A 15479-nucleotide genomic window follows, 5' to 3' on the forward strand; every position below is an offset into this window, starting at 1 on the left:
CCTCAGATTTATACAGCCTATCTCTCTCTGGTGCATCAGTGGTTTCATCTTAGTAGATAAAAGATGACACATTTTGGTAAATAGGTAGGATGAAAACTTTTGCTAATACTGCCCATTTCATGTTTGTGCACTTAAAAGTATTATTTACTTAGTTCTTTTGCTAATGCATATGAGTAAATCTCACTGCAGGATGCACATCTAATTTTCATGCTTGGAAAAATAGAGTAAAGGCAATTCTAGTAAAATTTCTTAAAGTGGAAAGTGGAAATGGAGCAATCCTGATTCATAGCTAGATCTGGTGACAGCACAGAAAATAAAAACAAAACTAAAATCCATGGTGATCTCTGTAAGAAGGCATGAAGGGGTGAGAGAGAAAATGGCACAGCATGGGTAAATACATCAAATGCAGTTGGGATAAATATAGATGGGTGGAAAATAATTGTAAGGGAAATTGTTCCAGGAATGTCATGGATTTCCAACTAGGGGGATTACTGTGTGCAGCTGTTGAATGGGGGCTCATTCTTGAGGTCTCAAGTTCCACCTGTTGGGCAATAAAGCCTTTTGAGTGAGTGACATGATATCTACCCCGGAGAAGCCAATCATCTCACTGTTTTGGTGTAGGTGGGGCATAAGGATTAAACAAACAAAAAACTTCCACGTCATTTTTTAGCTATTCTTGGCCAAGAAGGTACCATTTCAGTCAAACTTTAAAGAATATTCTTAGAATAAGTGATAACATTTTCTTCGTATTTATGTGTGTGTTTTGTTTTTGTTTTAAATTTATCATCTAAGGCTACACTACAAAGATGTTTTCCAAAATTTAAAATAATGCTTGTATTTGCTTCCCAAACTATTTTCCTGCTCCAGATTTTAAAAAGAGGTGTGAGAATTTAATCAGCTCATAATAATAAACAGCTAGCAAGGAAATACTCTTCTAAGGAAATTCAGGACCCAAAATCTTTCTTAGGCAGTATTCAAGGAGCCCTCATTGTGAGTTTAAGTGGAAAGAAGTGTTTTTCAAGAGAAAGTGTTTGTTATTCCAAAGCGTATTCTGATAACTATTTCGGCAAAATTATGAAGCATCATTAAAATAGCCTTTTACATGAATTTTTTTTTTTTTTTTTGAGATGGAGTCTTGCTGTGTCGCCCAGGCTGGAGTGCAATGGCCCGATCTCGGTTCACTGCAAGCTCCGTCTCCCGGGTTCACACCATTCTCCTGCCTCAGCCTCCGGAATAGCTGGGACTATAAGCGCCCGCCACCACGCCTGGCTAATTTTTTGTATTTTTAGTACAGATGGGGTTTCACCGTGTTAGCCAGGATGGTCTCGATCTCCTGACCTCGTGATCCGCCCGCCTCTGCCTCCCAAAGTGCTGGGATTACAGGCGTGAGCCACCGCGCCCGGCCTTACATGATTTTTTATTACGTTATTAATGTGTTCTGTTTCTGTAAATGCACACAAAGTCAAATATGATAAAATAGTGCTGTTTCTGGAGAGTGTGAGAATATCCGTATAAAGGTGCTGTAAAAATGAATTGGGTATTTGAGATGTATACACGTCAGTTAATTCACTCTGAAGGCATGTACTCATTCTGGGACTTTGATATTGTAATCGTTCTACCTCTCCTATATTATGCTACGCATCACAGTCATTAGATCACTCCGTGATGTAGAGTTAATTTCAGCATATCTAAATATTATCAGTTATGAATGATAATTCTAGGCGTGTAGTTGAGAGTTACAGCATACACCGTTAATGGTTATTAATTTGGTGCCTATTTTGCCAACTTAGAACACTCACTTAGAACTCAACTTCGAACAAAGCTTTTCACAAATATCTATATCCCCCGTTACTCTTATCATAGCTCTATTGTTGGTGAAGATTAGCCGAACTGAACATGCCATCTCTATTGCTGTTATTTTCACGGGTTTGGGTGTCAATTATGGGTTCCCTAGAATTTGCCCGTAATTGACTATGTCCCACTATAGGTAACTCTGGAAGGGACTGGCAGCTTCCAGTGTGGTTCTCCCGCCTGTCGATTGGACCTTGCAGGAAGCCCCGCCTCATCAACTCAGTCAAGGGCTTTAGTTGGCCCGGCGTCGGTGAGTGGCGGGTCTTAGCTCCGCCCTGGCCGTCCGCTGCGCTGCCTGGGTCGGCGCCGTTTCCAGTTGAGAGATGGCGGCCGCCGCAGGTAGATCGCTCCTGCTGCTCCTCTCCTCTCGGGGCGGCGGCGGCGGGGGCGCCGGCGGCTGCGGGGCGCTGACTGCCGGCTGCTTCCCTGGGCTGGGCGTCAGCCGCCACCGGCAGCAGCAGCACCACCGGACGGTGAGCGAGCGCGCCCGGAGGCTCCGGGGAGGGCGGGGCGGCGCTGGCGTGTGGGAGCCGCCGGCGGGCAGGCCGCCGGGGCAGCAGGCGAGTTACCTCAACTCCCGGCCGCTCCGGAGGTTGCCGGGCACCGAGGAGCCGCCGTGCCCTTCAGGCGCCTGCGGCGGCGACCAGGAAGGGAGGGCGGGCGGGAGGAAGCCGAGAGGAGGAGGAGGGGCGACGGCGGGGATGTTCCCGCAGGACTGGGGACACCAGGGCGGGGAAGGCACGGGACTTGAACCTCTCCCCGACTCGCCCCCAATCGCGTTCCCTCCCTTCTTCGTTCTTAACAGCCCTGCCCCAAGGCTCCCTGAACGGAGCCAGATGGAAGTTGTCCCCTTTCCCTCCTCCTCCGGGCGGGTTGGGGAGTTCTGAGTTGCCGCGGCCGCCTTGTGTGTGCCAGGAGAGTGGCAGTGCCATGCTGCTGGGAGCTGCCCCGGAGAGCAGCCCAGGACCCCGGCGGGGCCGCCCCTCGTCCTCTCTCGTCCCCGAGGGGTCGGGCAGGAAGGAAAATCAAACTTTATTCCCCTCTGTGACTTCCTCTGTGTGTGTGCATGGGGAACCGGCTCCCTCGAGATGGATGCTGCATTGCTTCAGGAGGCAAGCTTCATCCTCTTGGGTCCTTAAAGGTGCTTTTGGGGGTCCTTTCGAGGGCTACTGTATAAGCGTGTTCACGCGTGCCTGAAGCGGGAAGGGTGGTCAGCAGGCACAGGAGAAGCGAATATGGTAAGTTGTTGACAGAGGCAGAGATTTGGTGGTTGTATTAACCAGTTGTTGCTGGGTTTCATTGGCTGGCAGAAAAAGAGGATTTCTGTTTGAACACTCTTGGGTGAGTGTGTGTGTGTGTGTGTGTGTGTGTGAGAGAGAGAGAGACAGAGTGTGAGAGAGATTTCTTTTTTCAATTGCAAGAGATGAATTTGGCATGGAGTTCTTAACCTAACAAGTCAGGAGGTTTCCTTCCCTTGGACTTTCTAGACCTATATGTGTTGGTCTCTGGCCAGCTCTGAGGGAAAGAATGTAGGTTTTATTTGCTGGGGCTGAGTTGTATAGTGTGATTATTGGAGGATCACTGCAAACAGCTTGATAGGAGAAACTACAATAGTACCTTCAACCCTCAATAAACACATCGCCTGCCTTGTTCTGATCATAACTCTTAAGAGGAAACTGAACTGGAGCTCTTCGGAGAGGATACTCCTAAGGCCAATGACAGCATCAAAATCGAGTGCCTGAAAGATCTATGAAAAGACCTAATGCTCTGCAAAAGCAAGGTTGTATTGTTATTATTAGTCATAGGTATGGACCCTATCCTCATTCTTGTGAGAAGATTGTACCTCTTTTTATTTGGCATACTGGCATATTGCTTTGCTGAAGCTTTTGGGTGACAGCCAAGAGCTTTTCCACAGTTCAATTTAATTTGCATGTTTCATAGCCTCTAGTTATGTGTTTTGTTCTCTTAAAAACATAAGGCCACCCCAAATTTTGATTGCATTCCCCTTTCCGTCGAACTACTTAAAGGCTTCCCAAGTTGTCCTTAAGTCCATATTTTGATAAGACATCTTCTGACTTTGCACAGTTTTTAAGACTGTTTGGGTGTGATATTCATTTAGCATTTTAAAAAATTTGTGCCTTGTATATTTTCCACTATGCAAATTTGTCAGGCTGTGAGTGTCTCCCTTGTGGGGATACTTCACGAAGGTGTTCTCTGTGCTATTCTAGGGTGGGTAAAAATGAAGTGCTGAATTTGTAACTGAAAGCACAATTAAAACGAAGTGTTATTTCTAAAGGGCAGGAATGTTATGGGAATGGTGACTTGTACATGAATTTAGAATTGTAAGATTTTGAAAAAAATTGAACCTGATTATTTAAAGTGTATAAACATTTTATTTTTCTACAATTCTTCTGAAGCCATCATGTATACAGCTGTTTCCATAGGATAGTCTGTGATTCTTTACAAGAAATTCCATTTAAAAGATATTGAGGCCCTAAAAAGAGAGAGACTTGGCCAAGGTTACGTTAGCTAATACGTAAGTTTTAGGACTCCCACTCATCTGAGATATTCTCACCTCTTATTGTGTTCTTTTCATTGTAAAGTGCAAATGCTCCTTTACATCTCTCTCCTCCCTTATAAAATTTACTATTGTCCATTATGAAAGTATTGCTATTTCAAAACCCCATGAATGGGAATTCTCCTGTAAGTAGGTGTTGATTTGAGTACATATATTAGGTGAATATGGGAGCAAACAACTTACCAGAAAGAATAGATGTTCTGGTAAAGGTCCCTGAGAGACACTAAGGTTGAATCTTGCTTGGGAGACATCCTGTGTATGTGCAGCAGATGGCAGTCTGCATTGGAATGGATCACAAGTCCAGTTTGTGCCACTTTTGTTCCGCTGTATGGTATGGTAAATTACAACCAGGGGGGCATAACCAGTTACAGCACTGCCTAATTTTTTAAGTGAGAAATTCATCTTTTCCAAGTTTCGAGAATGAGTCCAAAGCAATACAGTAGCTCAGCTAGTTGGTAAGTGCAATTATGAAGTTATAAACTTAGTTTGTCTCTTCCCCCTTCTCCATTAGTATGTCATTCAACTGAGTAAATAAGAGTAAAGGTACAGGGGCTTATTCAATATTTTTAGCACCATCTAGTGTAATTTTTTTCCTTCTCTCCGGCTTGTGACTGTAACCAAAACTGATGTAAAATGTTTGTTGCCTGCTTTTCTGTATGGTTAGTGAAGGTGGCTGCTATTTTTAAGTATGATTCTTCGAAGAGGAACTGCCTTTCATTGTGAGCTGTGTAATTCCATTGCTAAAACAAACTATTTCGTCTCTGATTATGACAGCCCCACTGTTGGCATTTTCTAGCAGTTAACGGCTATGCTGAATTACTACATCTTTTACTTAAGTCTGTCATTGTCCTGTTACAGTTTGTGGCTGACTTGCTCTACTTTACACATCACAGTTCTTTTGGCAATGACATTGTTTCAGCTTAACCTGAAAGTTTTAACAGGTTACACTGCCTGACACAGAGGCAGGTCCTAACTCTTTAATTGAGTTCCTCATAGTCTGGCCCAATCTTATTATGCCAGATTCATCCCAGCACAAATACTCTGTTGTACTTAAGCTAGTCTCTGCACTGTCCCATACATTCATACTAAACCTTTATGGATTTTTTGTAGCTGAATTTCAGCCTTTATCACCCCTAATCACTCCTCTAGCCTTTAAGGTTCATTTCAGGTTACAGACTGTGATGTACAATTCCTTTTGAATCTAACATTCGCACTTTACACATGAGGAAACCTAATAAACTGAGGAAAGTCACTTGTTAAGTTATGTTTGTGGTTATGAACAGACCAAGGATTAAAATTCCTTTACTTTTTTTTTTTTTTTTGATACAAGGTCTTGCTTTGTCACCCAGGCTGGAGTTCATTGACACTGTCACAGCTCACTGCAATCTTGAACTCCTGGGCTCAAGCTCTCCTCCCACCTCGGCCTCCCCAAGTAATGTGCACCACCATGCCCAGCTAATTAAAAAAATTTTTTTGGCTGGGTGCGGTGGCTCACACCTGTAATCCCAGCAACTAGGGAGGCTGAGGCGGGCAGATCAGGGGGTCAGGAGTTGGAGACCAGCCTGGCCAACATGGTGAAACCTCGTCTCTACTAAAAAGACAAAAATTAGCTGGGCATGGTGGCAGGCGCCTGTAGTCCCAGCTACTCGGGAGGCTGAGGCAGGAGAATCACTTGAAACTAGAAGGCGGAGGTTGTAGTGAGCCAAGATCATGCCACTGCACTCCAGCCTGGGCGAAAGAGCGAAACTCCGACTCAAAAAAAAAAAAAAAAAAAAAAAATTTTTTTTTTTTTTTTTTTTTGGTAGAGACAGGGTATTTCTACCAGGCTGGTCTTGAACTCCTGGACTCATCTTCCCAAAGAGCTAGTATTATATACGTAAGCCACTACGTCTGGCCAAAAATTCCTTTAAATGGAGATGGATTCAAGAATTCCTAGTGTGAAGATCTGGCCTAAAATTCCTTTAAATGGAGACAGATTCAATAATTCCTAGCGTGAAGATGATACTTTCAGGGATAATTTCTATAATTCGTTACTAGAAAAGTTTCTCTAAATGTGTAGAGAAAAAAACATTTCCTAGTTTGAATCTTGATTTGTGTAATTCCTGGCTCTTAACCCTTTTCTATTGTTGTCTTCTGTCCTCTCTGAATTCTGATGGGATTTATTATCTTTAGGACACAAATTGACACCGACATGATTTCTAAATGTTTTATTTGTGGGCATCTAATCTTAACTGGGGAGATAAAGCAATGATGTGTATCTTATTACCTTTGTGGCTCATAGACTCTAGCACAATGCTGGGTACATAGGTGACACTCAGACAAGCATTAGTTAGCTATGCACCCCTTTTTCTGCTTGCTAGGGAAAAGATATGCCCTTTATCTCCTCTCCCTATCCCCCTACCCCCAGTTTGGCTTGCTTAATAGCCTTCCTTAGGTAGCCACATTTGGAGAATTCCTTTAAGCTTAGTATTGCCAGTGCTGTCTTTGGTTGTATATTACACTTCTTTATGGTGGATTGATGGAAAGAGTTGGTACCATTGGATTAGCTCAGCAGTGGTCATTAGCTTTCTGACAATAGCCAGCAAAAGTATAATAATTACCCAGATTATTACAAGTATATGTTTGAATCAGATTCCACATTTGTTGGTTTATTCTATATTAAGATTTTGAGAGTTCTGGATAAATATGTTTAAGAACAGACTTCTTCTATTTATTTATGTATTTATTTTAGATGGAGTGTTGCTCTGTTGCCCAGGCTGGAGTGCAGTGGCGTGATCTCGGCTCACTGCAACTTCCACCTCCTGGGTTCAAGTGATTTTCCTGTCTCAGCCTCCCAAGTAGCTGGGCATATAGGCGTGTGCCACCATGCCTGGCTAATTTTTGTATTTTTTGTAGAGACTGGGTTTCGCCATGTTGGCCAAGCTGGTCTCGAACTCCTGGCCTCGGGTAACCCACCTGCCTCGGCCTCCCAAAATACTGAGATTACAGGCATGAGCCACTGCACCCAGGCCAGACTTCTATTTTTTTTTTTTTTTTTTTTTTTTTGAGACAGATTCTCGCTCTGTTGCCCAGGCTGGAGTGCAGTGGTGTAATCTCGGTTCACTGCAACCTCCGTCTCCCTGGTTCAAGCGATTCTCCTGCCTCAGCCTCCCAAGTAGCTGGGATTACAGGTGTGCACCACCACGCCCGGCTAATGTTTTTGTATTTTTAGTAGAGACGGGGTTTCACCATGTTGGACAGGCTAGTCTTGAACTCCTGACCTCGTGATCCACCCACCTCGGCCTCCCAAAGTGCTGGGATTACAGGTGTGAGCCACTGTGCCTGGCTGACTTCTTTTATTTTTAAGGAAGCAACCATTCTTTTTATTTTTTATTGTTTTGAGAGACAGTCTTGTTCTCTTAACCAGGCTACAGTGCAGTGGTGTGGTCATAGCTTGCTGGAACCCTCAACTCCTGGGCTTAAGCAGTCCTCCCACTTCAGCCTCTTGAGTAGCTGGGTATATAGGCATGTGATGTGTCACCATGCCTAGCTCATAAAAAGAATTTTTTTTTTTTTTGGAGAAACAGTCTTGCTATGTTGCCCAAGCTGGTTTCTTAACTCCTGGCTTCAATAGATCCTCTCACTTTAGCCTCCCAGAGTGTTGGGATTACAGGCATGAGCTACCACATCCAGCACAAAATCATGCTTATTTTAAAACTCATAAAATATCTGAATAAATGAACTTGGATATCTTAAAATTCTGATTATTTGAACTTTTCTAAGTCCCAAGTGGCTTTTCTTTATGCTTCATGTAATTCTTTTCTTTAACATGAAATCTAAATAGAAAATACAGCATCAAGAGTGGTTTAAGTCAAAGGCAATACATTGGTAGGAAATCATTCAGATGATGTTATCAATGAAATGCTCTTTTATTTCAACTTCAAACATGAGGTAGCCCTAAAACAAAAAATGATTTGCTATCAACTGCTAGGATGTTTTTATTTCTTCTTATGTTTTAGCTTTGCATCCCTATAGATTTTCTTAAAAATTACTGTTTGTTTTCCTGTGATTAAGGTCAAGATTACCTTTTAATATCTCAGGATAGCTGTTAGAATAGAGGATTCAAAGGCTGATAGCCTCACAGAGTCTTACTCTGTCGCCCAGGCTGGAGTGCAGTGGCGCAATCTTGGCTCACTGCAACCTCCGCCTCTCGGGTTCAAGCAATTCTTCTGCCTTAGCCTCCCGAGTAGATGGGGCTAAAGGCACGCGCCACCACGCCCAGCCAATTTTTGTATTGTTAGTAGTGATGGTGTCTCACCATGTTGGCCAGGCTGGTCTTGAGCTCCTGACCTCAGGTGATCGGCCTGCCTCAGCCTCCCAAAGTGCTGGTATTACAGGCGTGAGCCACCATGCTCAGCCCTTTATTCTTTTTTTTTGAGACGAGGTCTTACTCTGTTGCCCAGGCTGAAGTATAGTAGTCTGATCATGGCTCACCGCAGCCTTGAACTCCTGGGCTTAAGTGATCCTCCGACCTCAGCCTTTTGAATAGCTAGGACTACAGGCACAATCCACCACACTGGGCTAATTTTTAAATTTTTTGTAGAGATGAAGTCTCACTATGTTGCCCATGTTGGTCTTGAACTCCTCGGCTCAAGCAGTCCTCCTGCCTTGGCCTCCCAAAGTACTGGGATTATAGGGTGAGCCACCGTGCCCGGACTCTTTATTCTTTGATTAATGCCATACCATGGCTCATGGATATATTAGAATTACTAGGATAACATGTTAGGAAAACTAAGATGTTACTGTGGAAGTTGTGCACTTTAAAGAATCTTAAACGTTTGCCAGCCGTAGTGGCTCATGCCTGTAATCCCAGCACTTTGGGAGGCCGAGGCGGGCGGATCATGAGGTCAGGAGTTCGAGACCAGCCTGACTAATATGGTGAAACCCCGTCTCTACTAAAAATACAAAAAAATTAGCTGGGTGTGGTGGTGCGCGCCTGTAATCCCAACTACTCGGGAGGCTGAGGCAGGAGAATTGCTTGAATCCGGGAGACGGAGGTTGCAGTGAGCCGAGATCATGCCACTGCACTCCAGCCTGGGTGACAGAGCAACACTCCGTCCCGGAAAAAGGGAAAAAAAAGAACCTTAGTGATTAGAGTTCAGTAAGACCTTATATTGAGGAAACAAGAGTATGAGTGGTGAAATGGCTTTTTTTTTTTTTTTTATTGAGATGGAGTCACGCTGTCGTCCATGCTGGAGTGCAGTGGCGCTATCTCTGCTCTCTGCAGTCTCTGTCTCCTGGGTTCAAGTGATTCTGCTGCCCCAGCCTCCTGAGTGGCTGGGACTACAGGTGTGCGCCACCGCCCCCTGCCGATTTTTGTATTTTTAGTAGAGATGGGGTTTTGCCATGTTGGTTAGGCTGGTCTCGAACTACTGACCTCAGATGATCTGCGTGTCTTGGCCTCCCAAAGTACTGGGGTTACAGGTGTGAGCCACTGCGCCCGGCCGAAATGGTTTTTTTCTTAGTAGCTCAGCATCTTAATACAGAACTGGAAATGGGTCACGCATCTTCTCATTTTCCTATTCAATTCTTTTCCTACTAAATTACACAATTCTTTGTTTCATTTAAAACACTTAAGCTGAGAGTGGTTCTAAAAAGTGGATTGGGGTCAAATTTTTTTTTTTTTTTTTTGAGATGGAGTTTCGCTGTTGTTGCCCAGGCTGGAGTGCAATGGTGTGATCTCGGCTCACTACAGCCTCTGCCCCCAGAGTTCAAGCGATTCTCCTGTCTCAGCCTCCTGAGTAGCGGGGATTACAGGCACCTGCCACCATGCTGGGCTAATTTTTTGTATTTTTATTGGAGACAGGATTTCGCCATGTTGGCCAGGCTGGTCTTGAACTCCTGGCCTCAGGTGATCCCCCCACTTCAGCCTTGGAAAGTGTTGGGATTACAAGGCGTGAGCCACTGTGCCCGGCCAAATTCTTAAAGTACCTAACGTCAAAGTCAGTCTTGAATAATTACTCTCTAATTTAGATTAAGCTTGATAATAACTGTTAAAAAACCTTTCCTCTGTAGGTTGAACACAAAAGGAAAACAATGCATTTATTTCACTGCACTTTGTTAAATGCTTGCAGTTAGCTTGTGTAAAAATGAAAGTTGGCTTCAAGCAAATTAATTTTAATAAGTTTAGTGAATTATTGGTCCAAAAACTGTGTACACACTTGAATCTTTTATATTGATAAAAATATAACTTCATAAATTTTTTCACCAATTGGGTCTAAAGCATGCTAAAGGTGGAACTTTTTCTAATGCAGTTCTGGAATAATTTGATGATATGACATCGCATTTTGACATCTCAAAGATATGAGCCTTTTCCAAAGGTTCTTTAATGATGTTAATACTATTTATTAATCCAGAAGAGTGGGTATTAATTTTTATGCTTTGTTCCTGAAGTTTTCAGTTTTTATGTATTTTTTCTTGCTATTTATTTTCCACTTTATTGTTTAGGGAGTGTTTGTAATAATCATCAGAAAACTACTGAGGAGTCCATTAGGTGTTTGAGACTGTGTAGACGACAGTTAGAAATGTACAGTCCTGAAGTGTACTGCCTTGTAGGTATCAATATCATTTAAACTTCTTTTTTGTCTGCTGAGACACGCCTACTTTGTACCTCTTTTCTATGATAAGTAATGTAAGAGGATGTTTAAGAGCACTGTATTAATATCTGCTTTAAACTTTAGTTCAGAGAAAGTTAGTATGACTGATAAATTGTCAGATAATAAGAGAGCATATAGGTTAGCTTGAACCACTTGGTTTCTATAGATAGAGGAATAGATATAGAAGAAACCATCTAAGACCTGAGGACATTGTTACTTCATTTAATTTTTACTATAACCCTATGAGAGGTATTAACCCAGTTTTATAGATTTAAGTGTCATAAACTGGTTTAGTGCTAGGGATGCACTGAAAGGCAGGACGCATGTTTTGGATTTAAGCCTGAGTCTGGCTAGAGTGAGAACTGTACTGTTCTGGGTGTCAGTGTGGGTCATCCTTCCTTTTCCTTTCTGCTCCTTTAGCATGTTCTTCCTCAAGTATCTGCTGCTGTTTTCCTTCAAGAGATCTCGACATCCTTCCTACTGACTACATTTCTTGTTGTTTTGAGACGGAGTCTTACTCTGTCGCCCAGGCTGGAGTGCAGTGGTGCGATCTCGGCTCACTGCAAGCTCCGCCTCCCAGGTTCAAGTCATTCTCCTGCCTCATCCTCCCGAGTAGCTGGGACTACAGGTACACACCACCACGCCCGGCTAATTTTTTGTATTTTCTTCTTAGTAGAGATGGGGTTTCACCATGTTAGCCAGGATGGTCTCGATCTCCTGACCTCATGATCTTCCTGCCTCGGCCTCCCAAAATGCTGGGATTACAGGCGTGATCCACCGTGCCCGGCCCCCACTGACTACATTTCTTAAATTTCTTTCCTCACCCTCCCCTCCCGGTGTTAGCTGTTAGAGGTCTAAGATATGTGCTTCTTGGAGATATTCCTAATTTAGTTTGGATTTCTAAAATGTCCCACCCAGCCGGGCGCTGTGGCTCATGCCTGTAATCCCAGCCTTTTGGGATACTGAGATGGGGGAATCACCTGAGGTCAGGAGTTCAGGACCAGCCTGACCAACATAGTGAAACCCCATCTCTATTAAAAATACAAAAAAAATTAGCCAGTCATGGTTGGGGGGGAGGGGGGCGCCATAATTCCAGCCACTTGGGAGGCCGAGGCAGGAGAATTGCTGGAACCCAGGAGGCAGAGGTTGCAGTGACCCGAGATCGCACCACTGCACTCCAGCCTGGGCGACAGAGCAAAACTCTGTCTCAAAAAAAAAGAAAAAAAAAAGAAGAAGAAAAAGAAAAAAATAAGTCCCATCCAGTAAACCTGGTAATTACTGAGTTGCTTCTATACCAGATACTTTTATAACATTCTCTAGTGTACTCTACAACAGTCCTTCTGGCAAAATACTATTCCCATTGTACAGATGGAAAATGAAGACTTAGAAGGGTTTGGTAACCTGGAGACATTCAGAAAATATCTGTGGAACTCCTGCATTTTGTGAGGCACTGCCCAGGGCATTGGAGAGAGAGATGCCTTTGTGGTGGTCCTAAAAGAGTTCACAGTCTGGCCAGGAGACATTGTACAAACAGACTATAAATGGCTGTGCTTCTTTTTTTTCTAAAGAATGTTCAGCGGGAGCACTTGGGACCTACCTGTGAGAGCTGAGGAAGGCTTCACAGAAGAGGTCTTGCTTAAGAGGAAACATTTGGGGCCAGGTGCAGTGGCTACGCCTGTAATCCCAACGCTTTGGGAGGCTGAGGCGAGTGGATCACCTGAGGTCAGGAGCTCAAGACCAGCCTGGCCAACATGGTGAAACCCCATCCCTACTAAAAAAATACAAAAATTAGCTGGGTGTGGTGGTGTGCGCCTGTAATCCCAGCTACTCAGGAGGCTGAGGCAGGAGAATCACTTGAACCGGGAGGCAGAGGTTGCAGTGAGCTGACATGGTGCCATTGCACCCCAGCCTGGACAACAAGAACGAAACTGTGTCTCAAAAAAAGAAAAAAAAAAAAAAAGCAAACATTTGGAAATATAATGTGACTGGAAAAGTGTGGTCAGCATTCTGGGCAGCACCAATCTGACATGACCTCATGAGGGAGTAAGATGTATTTGAGAAGCAGCCACTGGTTTGTTACAACTGGAGTATGCGCAAGAATAGCTGGAGATTAGGCTGGACAATAGTAGTTATACCAATGATAATATTTTTCAAGTATATCATGTGCCAAGAATTTTACATAGATTATCTCATTTAATTCTTGTGATACACTATGACCCAGGTACTGTTTTTATCCTCATTTTATAGATAGTGAAACTAAGTTACCCACTGAGTTAAATGATTTGCCCAGAGTCACAGCTGTTAAGTGACACACAGTAAATGACTTAACCATGATCACACAGCTAGCAGATGTCACACCTAGCATATAAACCCCCAAACAGTGGCTTCAGATCCTGTCTCTTAACCACTGTTTCTGTGGTGAGGGATCAGACTATGAAGGGACTTCTGAAGAAATTGAAATTTTGTTCTGTAGGTCAGTGTTTTTATGTTTTGTTTTTAACTCAGCCCACAGTAGAAGTACATTTTACACTGTAACCCAGTTATGTGTGTGCATTGTACACACATAAAACTAAAGAAAAGTGGCTGGGCATGGTGGCTCACACCTGTAATCCCAGCACTTTGGGAGGTGGAGGCAGGCAGATCACTTGAGGCCAGGAGTTTGAGACCAGCCTGGGCAACATGGTGAAACCAACCTAATACAAAAATTAGCCTAGCATGGTGGCATACACCTATAATCCCAGCTACTCCAGAGGCTGAGACGTGAGAATTGCTTGAACCCAGGAGGCAGAGGCTGCAGTGAGCAGAGATCACTGCATTCCAGTCTGGGCGACAGCAAGACTCTGTCTCAAAACAACAACAACAACAACAACAACAACAAAAAACAACTAAAAAAAAGTTTCATGAAATAATATTTTTTACTATGTATTTTATATAGTTTCCATTCTGTTTTGTTAAAGAAATATTAGTTGAGACCTAAATTGATTTTACATCTTAAGCCATAGTTTGAAAAAATACTGCTTGTCTATAGATGAGCCTCTGAAGAATTTCAAGTGGGAGAATCAGGTGATCAGGTAGGTAACGCTGGCAGCAGTATGAAGGCCGGGTGGAAAGGATGGGACCAGAGAGGTAGAAAGACCAGTAAGGAGCATCTCACTGGACCAAGGAAAAGATGCCTGACTAGGACAGTAGCGTTGTAGATAGAGAAAAGGGAAGAGAGAAGAGAGATTTAAGAAGTAGAACTGATAGAACTTGGTGATTGAATGTAGATTATCACTTACTACCAGTAGAAAGGCCATTCAATTCACGGTCTGTTTGACTTTATTACTCAGGCACTGAAACTTTATTTCTTAACCTTTGCTGAGTGTTCCTTTTTACAATCATGTTAAATATGCTTTTTTTCTATGCCTCTAATTTTGTATTTAAAACTGTACTGACCTGCTAAAATTTTAAATTTTGACCTGATTTAAAATTTGTGATTTTTTTTTTATTTTTTAAATTAAATTAAAACTTTCCTAGAGACAAGGTCTTCCTCTGTCACCCAGGCCGGAGTTCATGGCACCATTATAAATCACTGTAGCCTCGAACTCCTGAGCTGAAGGGATCCTCCTGCCTCAGCATCCCAAGTAACTGGGACTACAGGCATGCACTGTCATGCCTGGATAATTTTTTTTTTTTTTTTTTTTTTTTTTTTGAGACGGAGTCTCGCTCTGTAGCCCAGGCTGGAGTGCAGTGGCGCGATCTCGACTCACTGCAACCTCCACCTCCTGGGTTCTGGTTCAAGCAGTTCTCCTACCTCAGCCTCCCGAGTAGCTGGGATTACATGGATGTGCCACCATGCCCAGCTAATTTTTGTATTTTTAGTGGAGATAGGGTTTCACCATGTTGGCCAGGCTGATCTTGAACTCCTGACCTCATAATCCGCCCGCCTCGGCCTCCCAAAGTGCTGGGATTACAAGCATGAGCCACCGCCCCCAGCCACCTGCATAATTTTAAAATTTTTTGTAGAGGTGAGGGTCTTGCTATGTTGCCCAGGCTGGTCTCAAACTCCCAGCTTCTAGTGATCCTCCTGCTTTGGCCTCCCAAAGTGCTGGGATTACAGATGTGAGGTACTGTGCCTGGCCAAAACAAATTTTTTTTAAAAAATCTTACTTTAAGTTCTGGGATATGTGTGCAGCATGTGCAGGTTTGTTATATAGGTATACATGTGCCATGCAAAAAAATTTTTTTATTTTAAAATTTATATATCAAAAATCAGATGGCTACCTTATTTTCTTGTGCCTGCTTCCCCTACTCTGTTCCATAGAATTTGAACAATTTGTGTAGCATTATGAAAATATTTGTTGAAAGGATATATTCTGGGTTGGGCGCTGTGGCTCAAGCCTGTAATCCCAGCACTTTGGGAGGCTGAGGTGGGT

General features: G+C 43.3%; 1 protein-coding gene across 4 annotated transcripts in view, besides 6 other annotated features; it reads left to right on the forward strand.

Moving 5' to 3' along the window:
* Window positions 1784–1843: an enhancer, noted in NCBI's record as "active region_3551". NCBI's record gives its function as "activates an Ori minimal core promoter by ATAC-STARR-seq in GM12878 lymphoblastoid cells {active_cell/tissue: GM12878}" and the evidence as "EXISTENCE:reporter gene assay evidence [ECO:0000049][PMID:35858748]".
* Window positions 2044–2503: a silencer, noted in NCBI's record as "silent region_2476". NCBI's record gives its function as "represses an Ori minimal core promoter by ATAC-STARR-seq in GM12878 lymphoblastoid cells {active_cell/tissue: GM12878}" and the evidence as "EXISTENCE:reporter gene assay evidence [ECO:0000049][PMID:35858748]".
* Window positions 2166–15479, forward strand: part of MCU (mitochondrial calcium uniporter) — a 195552-nt gene continuing 182238 nt past the window's right edge. For 3 of the 4 annotated variants that reach the window (NR_073062.2, NM_001270679.2, NM_138357.3), the window contains exon 1: window positions 2166–2324. Coding sequence is in view for 3 of the 4 variants with exons in the window: in NM_001270679.2 (NP_001257608.1) it covers window positions 2175–2324 (150 nt within the window). In the remaining variant the exon portion in view is untranslated. Of the gene's footprint in view, window positions 2325–2885; window positions 3090–15479 lie in introns of those variants that run through there. The other variant, NM_001270680.3, reaches the window with a different exon arrangement.
* Window positions 2594–2643: a silencer, noted in NCBI's record as "silent region_2477". NCBI's record gives its function as "represses an Ori minimal core promoter by ATAC-STARR-seq in GM12878 lymphoblastoid cells {active_cell/tissue: GM12878}" and the evidence as "EXISTENCE:reporter gene assay evidence [ECO:0000049][PMID:35858748]".
* Window positions 2664–2753: a silencer, noted in NCBI's record as "silent region_2478". NCBI's record gives its function as "represses an Ori minimal core promoter by ATAC-STARR-seq in GM12878 lymphoblastoid cells {active_cell/tissue: GM12878}" and the evidence as "EXISTENCE:reporter gene assay evidence [ECO:0000049][PMID:35858748]".
* Window positions 3514–3603: an enhancer, noted in NCBI's record as "active region_3552". NCBI's record gives its function as "activates an Ori minimal core promoter by ATAC-STARR-seq in GM12878 lymphoblastoid cells {active_cell/tissue: GM12878}" and the evidence as "EXISTENCE:reporter gene assay evidence [ECO:0000049][PMID:35858748]".
* Window positions 13430–13519: a silencer, noted in NCBI's record as "silent region_2479". NCBI's record gives its function as "represses an Ori minimal core promoter by ATAC-STARR-seq in GM12878 lymphoblastoid cells {active_cell/tissue: GM12878}" and the evidence as "EXISTENCE:reporter gene assay evidence [ECO:0000049][PMID:35858748]".

Source organism: Homo sapiens, chromosome 10 (assembly GCF_000001405.40).
Source record: "Homo sapiens chromosome 10, GRCh38.p14 Primary Assembly".
Classification (NCBI taxonomy): domain Eukaryota; kingdom Metazoa; phylum Chordata; class Mammalia; order Primates; family Hominidae; genus Homo; species Homo sapiens.